General features: G+C 36.7%; 4 annotated features.

The window, feature by feature from the left end:
- Positions 2659 to 3173: an enhancer, noted in NCBI's record as "OCT4-NANOG hESC enhancer chr12:37999519-38000033 (GRCh37/hg19 assembly coordinates)". NCBI's record gives its function as "activates a minimal SCP1, AML or CMV promoter by ChIP-STARR-seq in primed H9 embryonic stem cells {active_cell/tissue: H9 hESC(primed)}" and the evidence as "EXISTENCE:reporter gene assay evidence [ECO:0000049][PMID:30033119]".
- Positions 4102 to 4678: an enhancer, noted in NCBI's record as "OCT4-NANOG hESC enhancer chr12:37998014-37998590 (GRCh37/hg19 assembly coordinates)". NCBI's record gives its function as "activates a minimal SCP1, AML or CMV promoter by ChIP-STARR-seq in primed H9 embryonic stem cells {active_cell/tissue: H9 hESC(primed)}" and the evidence as "EXISTENCE:reporter gene assay evidence [ECO:0000049][PMID:30033119]".
- Positions 4792 to 5293: an enhancer, noted in NCBI's record as "OCT4 hESC enhancer chr12:37997399-37997900 (GRCh37/hg19 assembly coordinates)". NCBI's record gives its function as "activates a minimal SCP1, AML or CMV promoter by ChIP-STARR-seq in primed H9 embryonic stem cells {active_cell/tissue: H9 hESC(primed)}" and the evidence as "EXISTENCE:reporter gene assay evidence [ECO:0000049][PMID:30033119]".
- Positions 5327 to 5882: an enhancer, noted in NCBI's record as "OCT4-NANOG hESC enhancer chr12:37996810-37997365 (GRCh37/hg19 assembly coordinates)". NCBI's record gives its function as "activates a minimal SCP1, AML or CMV promoter by ChIP-STARR-seq in primed H9 embryonic stem cells {active_cell/tissue: H9 hESC(primed)}" and the evidence as "EXISTENCE:reporter gene assay evidence [ECO:0000049][PMID:30033119]".

The raw sequence follows: 14196 nt of genomic DNA, 5'->3' as shown, positions 1-14196 counted from the left end.
AATCATTACAAATATCCAGTTGCAGATTCTACAAAAAGACTGTTTCAAAACTGCTCTCTCAAAAGGTAGGTTCACCTCTGTGAGTTGAATGCACACATCACAAAGAAGTTTCTGAGAAGGCTTCTGTCTAGTTTTTATGTCAAGTTATTTAAGATATTTCTTTTTCCACCATAGACCTCAAAGCGCTCCAAAGGAACACTTGCAGATTCTACAAAAAGAGTATTTCAAAACTGCTCTATCAAAAGAAAGGTTCAACTCTGTAAGTTGAATGCACTCATCACAAAGAAGTTTCTGAGGATGCTTCTGTCTACTATTTGTGTTAAGTTATGTCCTTTTCCACCATAGGCCTCAAAGCTCTCTGAATGAACACTTGCAGTTTCTACAAAAATACTGTTTCAAAACTGCTCTATCAAAAGAAATGTTCAACTCTGTGAGTTTAATTCACACATCACAAAGAACTTTCTGAGAATGTTTCTGTCAAGTTTTTATGTGAAGATATCCCGTTTCCAACGAATTACTCAAACAGCTCTATATATCCACTAGTGGATTCTACAAAAGGAGTGCTTCAAAACTGCTCTATCAAAAGAAATGTTCAACTCTGTGAGTTCAATGCACACATATCAAAAAAGTTCCTGAGAATGCTTCTGTCTAGTTTTTATGTGAAGATATTCCCGTTTCCAATGAAGGCCTCAAAAATCTCCAAATATCCACTAGCAGATTCTACAAAAAGAGTGTTTCAAGTCTGCTCTATCAAAAGATTAATCTCTATTACATGAATGCACACATCACAAAGAAGTTCTAGAGAATGCTTCTGTCTAGTTTTTATGTGAAGATATTTCTTTTTCTACCTTAGACCTCATATCACTCCAATTATCCACTTGCAGATTCTACAAAAACACTGCTTCAAAACTGCTCTGTCAAAAGTAAGATTCAACTCTGTGAGTTGAATGCACACATGGCAAAGAAGTTTCTGAGAATGCTTCTGTCTTGTTATTATTAGAAGATATTCCCTTTTCCACCATAGGACTCAAATCACTCCAAGTGAACACTTTCATATTCTACTAAAAGACTGTTTAAAAAGTGCTCTATCAAAATAAACGTTCAAGTCTGTGTGTTGGATGCACACATCACAAAGAACTTTCTGAGAATTCTTCTGTCAAGTTTTATGTGAAGATATACAGTTTCCAAGGAATTCCTCAAAGACCTCCAAATATTCAAAAGCAGATGCTACAAAAGGAGTGTTTCAAAACTGCTCTATCAAAAGAAATGTTCAACTCTGTGATTTGAATGCACACATCACAAAGAAGTTCCTGAGAATGCTTGCCTCTAGTTTTTATATGAAGATATACCCGTTTCCAACGAAGTCCTCAAATATTTCCAAATATCCAATAACAGATTCTACAAAAGGAATGTTTCAAACATGCTCTATCAAAAGAAAGGTTCAACTCTGTGAGTTGAATGCACACATTGCAAAGTATTCTCCGAGAATGGTTCTTTGTAGTTTTTGTGTGAAGATATTTCCTTTTCCACCATGGGCCTCACTGAGCTCAAAACGAACACTTGCTGATCCAATAAAGGAGTGTTTCAAAACTGTTCTATCAAAAGAAATGTTCAACACTGTGAGTTGAATGCATATAAGACAAAGCAGTTTCTGATACTGCCTCTGTCTAGTTTTTATGTGAAGATATTGAAGATATTTCTTTTTCCACCACAGACCTCAAAGCGCTCCAAATGAACACTTGCATATTTCACAAAAAGAGTGTTTCAAAACTGCTCTATCAAAAGAAAGGTTCAAATCCGTTAGTTGAATGTACACATCACCAAGCATTTTCTGAGAATGCTTCTGTCTAATTTTTATGAGAAGATATTCCCTTTTCCACCATAGGCCTCAAATCGCTCCAAATATCAACTTGCAGATTCTACATAAAGACTATTTCAAAACTGCTCTATCAAAAGAAAGGTTCATCTCTGTGAGTTGAATGCACACATCACAAAGAAGTTTCTGAGGATGCTTCTGTCTAGTATTTATGTGATAATATTTCCTTTTCCACCAAAGGCCTCAAAGTGCTCCGAATGAACACTTCAGATTCTGCAAAAAGACTGTTTCAAAACTGCTCTATCAAAAGAAATGTTCAACTCTGTGAGTTGAATGCACACACCACAAATAACTTTCTGAGAATGCTTCTGTCTAGTTTTATTTGAAGATATCCTGTTTCCAACGAATTACTCAAAGAGCTCTAAATATCCACAAGCAGATTCTACAAAAGGAGTGTTTCAAAACTGCTCTATAAAAACGAAGGTTCAAATCTGTGAGTTGAATGTATACATCTCAAAAAAGTTCCTGAGAATGCTTCTGTGTAGTTTCTATGTGAAGATATTCCCGTTTCCAACGAAGTCCTCAAAAATCTCCAAATATCCACTAGGAGATTCTACAAAAGGAGTGTTTCCAATATGCTCTATCAAAAGAAAGGTTCATCTCTGTTACATGAATTCACACATCATAAAGAAGTTCCAGAGAATGCTTCTGTCTAGTTTTTATGTGAAGATATTTCCTTTCCCAGAATAGGCCTCACATTGCTCCAAATATCTACTTGCAGATTCTACAATAACACCGTTTCAAAACTGCTCTGAAAAAAGGTTCACCTCTGTGAGTTGAATGCACACATGGCAAAGAAGTTTCTGAGAATACCTCTGTCTTGTTTTTATTAGAAGATATTCCCTTTCCCACCACAGGCCTCTAATCGATCCAAAAGAACACTTGCAGATTCTACAAAAGACTGTTTCAAAACTGGTCTATCAAAAGAAAGGCTCAAGCCTGTGAGTTGAATGCACACATCACAAAGAAGTTTCTGAGAATGCTTCTGTCTAGATTTTATGTGAAGATTCCCGTTCCCAAAGAATTCCTCAAAGAGTTCCAAATATCCACAAGAAGATTCTACAAAAGGAGTGTTTCAATACTGCTCTATCAAAAGACAGATTCAACTCTGTGAGTTGAATACACACATCTCAAAGAAGTTCCTGAGAATGCCTCTGTCTAGTTTTTATGAGAAGATATATCCATTTCCAACGAAGGCCTCAAACATCTCCAAATATCCACTAGCAGATTGTACAAAAGGAGTGTTTCAAATCTGCTGTATCAAAAGAAAGGTGCAACTCTGTGGGTTGAATGCACACATCACAAAGAAGTTTCTGAGAATGCTTCTCTCTAGTTTTCATGCCAAAATATTCCCTTTTCCACAATAGGCCTCAAATCGCTCCAAATATGCACTTGCAGATTCGATAAAAACACTGTATCAAAACTGCCCTGACAAAAGCAAAGTTCAACTCTGTGAGTAAAATGCACACATGGCAAAGTAGTTTCTGAGAATGCTTCTGTCTAGGTTTTATGTGAAGGCATTCCCTTGTCCACCATAGGCTTCAAATCGCTTCAAATATCCACTTGCAGATTATACAAAAACACTGTTTCAAAACAGCTCTGTCAAAAGGAAGGTTCAACTCTGTGAATTGAATGCACACATCACAATGAAGTTTCTGAGAATGCTTTTGTCTAGTTTTTTATGAGAAGTTATTCCCGTTTCCAACGAAGACCTCAAAGCGCTCCAAATGAACCTTGCAGATTCTACAAAAAGAGTGTTTCAAAAGTGCTCTATCAAAAGAAAGTTTCAACTCAGTAAGCTGAATGCACAGGACACAAAGAAGTTTCTGAGAATGCTTCTGTCTAGTTTTTATTTGAAGATATTCCGGTTTTCCAAAAAGGCCTCAAAAGTCTCTAAAAACCCACTTGCAGATACTACAAAAAGACTGTTTCAAAACTGCACTCTTAAAAGAAAGTTTCAACACTGTAAGTTGAATGCACACATCACAAAGCAGTTTCTGAGAATGCTTCTGTCTAATTTTTATGTGAAGATATCACGTTTGCATCGAATTCCTCAAACAGCTCAAATATCCACAAGCACATTGTACAGAAGGAGTGTTTCAAAACTACTTTATCAAAGAAAGTTTAAACTCTGTGAGTTGAATGCATACAGCAAAAATTTTCTGACAATGCTTCTGTCTAGTTTTCATGTGAAGATATTTTGTTTTCCACCTTAGGCCTCAAATGGCTCAAAATGTCCACTTGCAGAGTCTAGAAAAACACTGTTTCAAAACTACTCTGTCAAAGAGACGGTTCAAATCTGTGAGTTAAATGCACACATGGCAAAGAAGTTTCTGAGAATGCTTCTGTCTAGTTTTTATGAGAAGATATTCTTTTTTCCACCATAGGCCTCAAGTCTCTCCAAATGAACACTTGCAGATTCTACAAAAAGGCTGTTCAAAATCTGCTCTATCAAAAGAAAGGTTCAACTCTGTGAGTTGAATGCACACATCACAGAGAAGTTTCTGAGAATGCTTCTGTCTGGTTTTTAGGTGAAGATATTTCATTTTCCACCATAGGCCATACAGCACTCCAAATGAACGCTTGCAGATTCTACAAAAGGACTGTTTAAAAACTCCACGATCAAAAGAAAGGGTCAACTCTGCGAGTTGAATGCGCACATCACAAAGAACTTTCCGAGAATGCTTCTGTCTAGTTTTTAGGTGAAGATATTTCCATTTCCAACTAAGGCCCCAAAAATCTCCAAATATCCAATAGCAGATTCTAAAAAAGGAGTATTTCAAAACGACTCTATAATAATAAAGGTTCAATTCGGTTAGTTGAATGCACACATCTCAAAAAAGTTCCTGAGAATGCTTCTGTCAAGGTTTTATGTGATGGTATTTCCTTTTCCACTATAGGCCTCAAATCGCTCCAAATATCCACTTGCAGATTCTAAAAAAGACTGATTCAAAACTGCTCTCTAAAAAGAAAGGTTCAGCTCTGTGAGTTGAATGCACACATCAGAAAGAACTTTCTGAAAATGCTTCCATGTAATTTTTATGTGAAGATATCCCGTTTCCAATGACTTCCTGAAGGAGTTCCCAATATACACAAGTGGATTCTACAAAAGGAGTTTGTCAAATCTGCTCTATCGAAAGAAAGTTTCAACTCTGTTAGTTGAATGCACACATCTCAAAGAAGTTCCTGAGAATGCTTCTGTCAAGTTTTTACGTGAAGATATTTCCGTTTCCAACATAGGCCTCAAAGCGCTCCAATTGAACATTGCAGATTCTACAAAAAGACTGTTTCAAAACTGCCCTATCAAAAGAAAGGTTCAACTCTGCTGTGAATGCACACATCAGAAAGAAGTTTCTGAGAGTGGTTCTGTCTAGTCTTTATGTGAAGATAATTCCTTTTCCACCATAGGCCTCAAAGCGCTCCAAATATCCACTGGCAGATTCTGCAAAAAGAGATTATCAAAACTGCTCTTTGAAAAGAAAGTTTCAGCTCTGTGAGTTGAATGCTGACATCACAGAGAAGTTTCTGAGAATGCTTCTGTCTAGTTTTTATGTGACGATATGTCCTTTTCCACCACAGTCTTCAAAGCACTCCGAATGAACACTTGCAGATTCTACAAAAAGACTGTTTCAAAACTGCTCTATCCAAAGGAAGGTTCAGCTCTGTGAGTTGAATGCACACATCACAAAGAACTTTCTGAGAATGCTTCTGTCTAGTTTTTATGTGAAGATATTCCCGTTTCCAAAGAAGGCCTCAAACATCTCCAAATATCCAGTAGTAGATTCTACAAAAGGAGTGTTTAAAACTGCTCCATCAAAAGAAAGTTTCAACTCTGTGAGTTGAATGCACACATCTTGAAGAAGCTCCTGAGAATGCTTCTGTCTAGGTTCTATGTTAAGGCATTCCCTTTTCCACCATAGGCTTCAAATCGCTCCAAATATCCACTTGCAGATTATACAAATAGGGTGTGTCAAAACTGCTCTATCAAAAGTATGTTTCAACTGTTAGTTGAGTGCACACATCTCAAAGAAGTTCCTGAGAATGCTTCTGTCTAGTTTTCATGTGAAGATAATTCCTTTTCCACCATAGGCCTGAAAGCGCTCAAAATGAACACTTGCAGAATCTACAAAAAGAGTGTTTCAAAATGCTCTTCCAAAAGAAAGGTTCAACTCTGTGAGTTGAATGCACACATCTCAAAGAAGTTCCTGAGAATACCTCTGTCTAGGTTTTATGTGAAGGCATTCCGTTTTCCACCATAGGCTTCAAATGGCTCCAAATATCCACTTGCAGATTATACAAAAACACTGTTTCAAAACAGCTTTGTCAAAAGGAAGGTTCAACTCTGTGAATTGAATGCACACATCACAATGAAGTTTCTAAGAATGCTTTTATCTAGTTTTTATGAGAAGTTATTCCCATTTCCAATGAAGACCTCAAAGCGCTCCAAATGAACACTTGCAGATTCTACAAAAAGAGTGTTTCAAAACTACTCTAACAAAAGAAAGCTTCAACTCTGTTAGTTGAATGCACACGACACAAAGAAGTTTCTGAGAATGCTCTGTCTAGTTTTTATGTGAAGATATTTCCTTTTCCACCATAGGCCTCAAAGCGCTCAAAATGAAGACTTTCAGATCCTATAAAAGGGGTTTTTCAAAACTGCTCTATCAAAAGAAAGCTTCAACTCTGTTAGTTGAATGCACACGACACACAGAAGTTTCTGAGAATGCTTTTGTCTACTATTTATATGAAGATATTTCCTTTTGACCATAGGTCTCAAAGCCTTCCAAATGAACACTTACACATTCTACAAAAAGACTGTTTCAAAACTGCTCTATCAAAAGGAAGGTTCAACTCTGTGAGTTGAATGCCCACATCACAGAGAACTTTCTGAGAATGCTTCTGTCTAGGTTTATGTGAAGATATACCCGTTTCCAACGAAGGTCTCAAAGAGCTCCAAATATCCACTAGCAGATTCTACAAAAGGAGGGTTTGGAAACTGCTCTATTAAAAGAAATGTTTAACTCTTTGAGTTAAATGTACACATCAGAAAGCTGTTTCTGAGGATACTTCTGTCTAGTTTTCATGTGAAGATATACCCTATTGCACCATAGGCCTCAAATCGCTCCAATTATGCAGCTGCAGGTTCTACAAAAACACTGTTTCAAAACTGCTCTGTCAGAAGGAAGGTTCGATTCTGTGTGTTGAATGCACACATGGCAAAAAAAGTTTCTGAGAATGCTTCTGTCAAGTTTTTATGAGGAGTTATTCCCTTTTCCACCACAGGCCGCAAATCGCTCTAAATGAACACTGCAGATTCTACAAAAAGGATGTTTCAAAACTGCTCTATGAAAAGAAAGGTTTAACTCTGTGAGTTGAATGCACACAACACAAAGCCATTTCTGTGAATTCTTCTGTCTAGTTCTTATGAGATGATAATCCCTTTTTTAAGGACGGCCTCAAAATGTTACAAATGAACACTTGCAGATTCTACAAAAAGACTGTTTCAAAACTCCACCAGCAAAAGAAAGGTTCAACTCTGTCAGTTGAATGCACACATCACAGAGAAGTTTCTGGGAAAGCTTCTGTCTAGTTTTTATGTGAAGATATTTCTTTTCCAATGTAGGCCTCAAAGCCCTCCAAATGAACACTTGCGTATTCTACAAAAAGAGTGTTTCAAAACTGCTCTATCAAAAGAAAGGTTCAACTCTGTGACTTGAATGCTTACATCACAAAGAAGTTTCTGAGAATGCTTCTGTCTAGATTTTATGTGAAGATATCCCGATTCCAACAAATTCTTCAAAGAACTCCAAATATCCACAAGCAGATTCTACAAAAGGAGTGTTTCAAAACTGCTCTATCAAAAGAAAGGTTCAACTCTGTGAGTTGAATGGACACAAGACAAAGCAGTTTCTGAGAATGCTTCTGTCTGTTTTTTCGGTAAAGACATTTCATTTTCCACCATAGGCCATAAAGCGCTCCAAATGAACACTTGCAGATTCTACAGGAAGATGGTTTAAAAACTCCACTATCAAAAGAAAGTGTCAACTCTGTGAGTTGAATGCACACATCACAAAGAAATTTCCGGGAACGCTTCTGTCTAGTTTTTAGGTGAAGATATTTACATTTCCAATGAAGGCCTCAAAAATCTCCAAATATCCAATAGCAGATTCTAAAAAAGGAGTATTTCAAAACTGCTCTATCACAATAAAGGTTCAACTCTGTTAGCTGAATACACATCTCAAAGAAGTTCCTGAGAATGCTTCTGTCAAGTTTTTATGTGAAGGTATTTCCTTTTCCACCATAGGCCTCAAATCGCTCCAAATATCCACTTGAAGATTCTAAAAGAGACTGTTTCAAAACTGCTCTCTAAAAAGAAAGGTTCAGCTCTGTGAGTTGAATGCACACATCACAAAGATGTTTCTGAGAATGCTTCCGTGTAATTTTTATGTGAAGATAAACCTTTTCCAACGAGTTCCTCAAGGAGTTCCAAATATCCACAAGCAGATTCTACAATAGGAGTGTGTCAAAACTGCTCTATAAAAAGAAAGTTTCAACTCTGTTAGTTAAATGCACACATCTAAAAGAAGTTCCTGAGAATGCTTCTGTCTAGTTATTATGTGATGATATTTCCGTTTCCACCAAAGGCCTCAATGCACTCCAATTGAACATTGCAGATTCTACAAAAAGACTGTTTCAAAACTGCTCTATCAAAAGAAAGGTTCAACTCTGTGAGTTGAATGCCCACATCAGAAAAAACTTTCTGAGAATACTTCTGTCTAGTTTTTATGTGAAGATATACCCGTTTCCAACAAAGGTCTCAAAGAGCTCCAAATATCCACTAGCAGATTCTACAAAAGGAGTGTTTTAAGACTGCTCTATCAAAAGAAAGGTTCAACTCTTTGAGTTAAATGTACACATCACAAAGCAGTTTCTGAGAATACTTCTGTCTAGTTTTCATGTAAAGATATACGCTTTTCCACCACAGGCCTCAAATCGCTCCAATTATGCACTTGCAGGTACTACAAAAACACTGTTTCAAAACTGCTCTGTCAAAAGAAAAGTTCAACTCTGTGTGTTGAATGCACACACGGCAAAGAAGTTCCTGAGAATGCTTCTGTCTAGTTTATATGAGGAGATATTCCCTTTTCCACCACAGGCCTCAAATCGCTCCAAATGAACACTTGCAGATTCTACAAAAGGATGCTTCAAAACTGCTCTATCCAAAGAAAGGTTCAGCTCTGTGAGTTGAATGCACACATCACAAAGAACTTTCTGAGAATGCTTCTGTCTAGTTTTTATGTGAAGATAGTCCCGTTTCAAACGAAGGCCTCAAACATCTCCAAATACCCAGTAGCAGATCCTACAAAAGGAGTGTTTCAAAACTGCTCCATCAAAAGAAATGTGCAACTCTATTAGTTGAATGCACACATCACAGGGAAGTTTCTGAGAATGCTTCTGTCTAGTTTTTATGTGAAGATATTCCCTTTTCCACCATAGGCCTCAAAGCACTCAAAATGAAGAATTGCAGATCCTATAAAAGGGGTGTTTCAAAACTGCTCTATCACAAGAGAGGTTCAACTCTGTGAGTTGAATGCACACATGACAAAGAAGGTTCTGAGAATGATTCTGTCTAGTTTTCATGTTAAGGTATTCCCTTTCCACCATACGCTTCAAATTGCACCAAATATCCACTTGAAGAATCCACAATATCACTGTTTCAAAACAGCTCTTTCAAAAGGAAGGTTCAACTCTGTGAATTGAATGCACGCATCACAATGCAGTTTCTGAGAATGCTTCTGTCTAGTTTTTATGAGAAGTTATTCCCGTTTCCAATGAAGACCTCAAAGCGCTCCAAATGAACACTTACAGATACTACAAAGAGAGTGTTTCAAAACTGCTCTATCAAAAGAAAGCTTTGACTCTGTTAGTTGAATGCAAACAACACAAAGAAGTTTCTGAGAATGCCTCTGTCTACTATTTATGTGAAGATATTTCCTTTTCACCATAGGTCTCAAAGCGTTCCAAATGAACACTTGCAGATTCTATAAAAGACTGTTTCAAAACTGCTCTATCAAAAGAAAGGTTCAACTCTGTGAGTTGAATGCCCACATCAGAAAGAACTTTCTGAGAATGCTTCTGTCTAGTTTTTATGTGAAGATATACCCGTTTCCAACAAAGGTCTCAAGGAGTTCCAAATATCAACTAGCAGATTCTACAAAAGGAGCGTTTCAAAACTGCTCTATCCAAAGAAAGGTTCAACTCTTTGAGTTAAATATACACATCACAAAGCAGTTTCTGAGAATACTTCTGTCTAGTTTTCATGTGAAGATATACCCTTTTCCACCACAGGCCTCACATAGTTCCAATTATGCACTTGCAAATTCTACAAAAGCACTGTTTCAAAACTGCTCTGTCAAAAGGAAGGTTCAACTCTGTGTGTTGAATGCACACATGGTAAAGAAGTTTCTGAGAATGCTCCTGTCTAGTTTATATAAGGAGATATTCCCTTTTCCACCACAGGCCTCAAATTGCTCCAAATGAACACTTGCAGATTCTACAAAAAGGATGCTTCAAAACTGCTCTATCAAAAGAAAGGTTCAACTCTGCGAGTTGAATGCACACATCACAAAGCCATTTCTGTTAATGCTTCTATCTAGTTTTTATGAGAAGTTTATCCCGTTCTTAATGAAGGCCTCAAAGTGCTCCAAATGAACACTTGCAGATTCTACAAAAAGAGTGTTTCAAAACTGCTCTTCCAAAAGAAAGATTCTGCTCTGTGAGTTGAATGCACACATCACAAAGCTGTTTCTGAGAATGCTTCTGTCTAGTTTTTATCTGAAGATATCCCGTTTCCAATGAATTCCTCAAAGAGCTCCAAATATCCACAAGCAGATTCTACAAAAGGAGTGTTTCAAAACTGCTCTATCAAAGGAAATGTTCAACTCTGTTAGTTGAATGCACCCGTCACAAAGAAGTTTCTGAGAATTCTTCTGTCTAGTTTTCATGTGAAAATATTTCCTTTTCCACCTTAGGCCACTATGGGCTGCAAATATCCAGTTGCAGATTTTGCAAAAAGAGTGTTTCAAAACTGCTCTATCAAAAGAAATGTTCTACTCTGTCAGTTGAATGCACACATCTCAAAGAAATTTCTGAGAATGCTTCTGTCTACTTTTTATTTGAAGATATTTCCTTTTCCAGCATAGGCCTCAAATCACTCCAAATATCCACTTGTGGATTCTTCAGAAAGACTATTTCAAAACTGGTCTATAAAAAGAAAGGTTCAACTCTGGGACCTGAATGCACGCATCATGAAGTAGTTTCTGAGATTGCTTCTGTGTAGTTTTATGTGAAGATATTTCCATTTCCTTATATGCCTCATTGGGCACCAAATATCAACTTGCAGATGCTACAAAAAGTGTGTTTCAAAACTGCTCTTTCAAAAAAAAGGTTCAACTCTGTGAGTTGAATGCACACATCACAAAGAGGTTTCTGAGAATGCTTCTGTCTAGTTTTTATGTGAAGATATTTCCTTTTCCACCGTTGGCCTCAAGGAGCTCCAAGTATCCACTTGCAGATTCTGCAAAAAAAGTGTTTCAAAACTGCTCTGTCAAAAGAAATGTTCAACTCTTTGAGTTGAATGCACAAATCACAAAGAAGTTTCTGAGAATTCTTGTCTCTGCTTTTTATGTGAAGATATTTCCTTTTCCACCATAGGCCTCAAAGGGCTCCAAATATCCATATGCAGAATGTACAACAAGAGTGTTTCAAAACTGCTCTATCAAAAGAAAATTTGAACTCTGTGAGTTGAATGCACACATCACAAAGGCGTTTCTGAGAATGCTGGTGTCTAGTTTTTATGTGAAGATATTTCCTTTCCCAGCATCAGCCTCATAGCGCTCCAAATATCCACTTGCAAATTCTACTAAAAGAGTGTTTCTAAACTGCTCTATAAAAAGAAAGGATCAACTCTGGGAGTTGAATGCACACATCAGAAAGAAGTTTATGAGAATGCTTCTGTCTATTTTTTATGTGAAGATATTTCCATTTCTTTATATATTCTCAATTTGCACTAAATATCACCTTGCAGATTCTACAAAATTAGTGTTTCAAAACTGCACTATTAAAGGAAAGGTTCAACTCTGTGAGTTGAATGCACACATCACAAAGTAGTTTCTTAGAATCCTTCTGTCTAATTTCTATGTTATGATATTTCCTTTTCCACCGTAAGCTTCAATGCACTCCAAATATCCACTTACAGATTCTACAAAAAGAGTGTTTCAAAACTGCTCTATCAAAAGAAAGGTTCAACTCTGTGAGTTGAATGCACTCATCACAAAGATGTTTCTGAGAATCCTTATCTCTTGTTTTTTTGTGAAGTTATTGCCTTTTCCATCATTGTCCTCAAAGGGCTCCAAATATCCAAATGCAGAATCTACAACAAGAATGTTTTAACACTGCTCTATCAGAAGAGAGGTTCTTCTCTGTGAATTGAACGCACACATCACAAAGATGTTTCTGAGAATGTTTCTGTCTTGTTTTTATGTGACGATATTTCCTTTTCCACCATAGGCCTCAAAGCTCTCCAAATATCCACTTGCAGTTTCTACAACAAGAGTGTTTCAAAACTGCTCTATCAAAAGAAAGGTTCAACTCTGTGAATTGAATGCACACATCACAAAGATGTTTCTGAGAATGCTTCTGTCTAGTTTTTATGTGAAGATATTTCCATTTCCTTATATGCCTCAATTTGCACCAAATGTCAACTTGCAGATTCTACAAAAAGAGTGTTTCAAAACTGCACTATCAAAAGAAAGTTTCAACTCTGTGTGTTGAATGCACACATCATGAAGAAGTTTATTGGAATGCTTCTGTCTAGTTTTTATGTTATGATATTTCCTTTTCCATCGTAGGCATCAATGCGCTCCAAATATTGCACAGATGAGGATATTGAAACTCTAAGAGAATATGCAATCTACCCAGAGTCATGCAGCTCGTGTATGTAAGGGTTGGAATGAAAATCCAATCTATGTGATTCCCAAGTCCCCTTCCACCATATGGTTTCCATTTCATTTTGAAATCAGCTTGGCTGGGATATGTTTGCCCTAAAAGATAGTAAGTAGGAATATTTGTCTCTATACATTAATCTGACATCCATGGGCTTGCTTCTTGTATTTGGAGGTGTCATAACATTATAATAGTAATTTGATTTTATTTGAACAGTGAATATTATACTACTCAGTCTAGAGATATATGACATCGCATTCTAAACTGTATGATAGCAATGAAGCTTCTTCAAGGAGACAAGTATGAGTAATAAGGTAGTAATAAGTTGAATTTCTATGGAGTTGCTACTTCTGAATTAAAACTAGTTGAGGTTAAGTAGATATTCAAAAATATTGCTACAATCTTCACTTGAATAATACAAATATTTATTGTTTTACATATTTATTTATTTATGGAACATAGATGTAATTTTAAAACAAAATTTTTGCAAATTGTATTAAAATATATTAAAAACATAATGCATTATGACCCAATAGAGTTTTTCAAAGTCACTCAGTGTTAGTTTAAAGTGTGAAATTCAATCAGTATAATTCACCATAGAATACAGTGTGTATGTCAGTATAATATGTATATCAAAATCGGAAAGAAGTAAATTTATCTTTGTTTTGTAATAAGATGAAATTAAAATTTTAATGAATTTCAACTTTCATTTTAGATTCCGGAGGGTACCTGTGCAGGTTTATTACATGGGAGTATTGTGTGATGCTGAGATTTGGGGTACGAATGAAGGTGTGAGTGCCTGTCTTGAACTTGCACCAAGAGCAATCTCCCCTGATCAGCAGAGGGTAAACTAACTTGAATTACACTTGAATTTCTTAGTAGAGCAGGTCACAAAGGGCAAATTGTGGTCCAGAGACAAAAGTGCTCGATGGTCTGAAATGAGCCTGCCATATCACTGACGGTACAGGTCTTCACAGAAATATATTTTAGAAAGGGGTCAATCCCTTGTTTAAAGATAAATGTAAGCTGAGTGTGGAGGCACACATCTATAATTCCAGCTACTCAGGAGGCTGAGGCAGGAGGATCACTTGAGTTCAGGAGTTTAAGACCAGCCTGGACAACATAGGAAGATCCCATGTCAATTTTTAAAAATGAGAAAAAAATAGATAAACGTAAGCATATTAAAATTTTAAAGAGTTTATTTAAGCAAACAGAGATTCATGGATCAGGCAGTTCCAAACTGAAAGTGGCTGGAGGATCTACTGGAGGTGTTTGTAAGGAAGGCTTTTATAGGGTGAATATAGAAGTAGAGTAGA

This window comes from Homo sapiens, chromosome 12, assembly GCF_000001405.40.
Source record: "Homo sapiens chromosome 12, GRCh38.p14 Primary Assembly".
In the NCBI taxonomy this organism is placed as follows: domain Eukaryota; kingdom Metazoa; phylum Chordata; class Mammalia; order Primates; family Hominidae; genus Homo; species Homo sapiens.
This window is presented reverse-complemented; position numbering and strand designations above follow the sequence as displayed.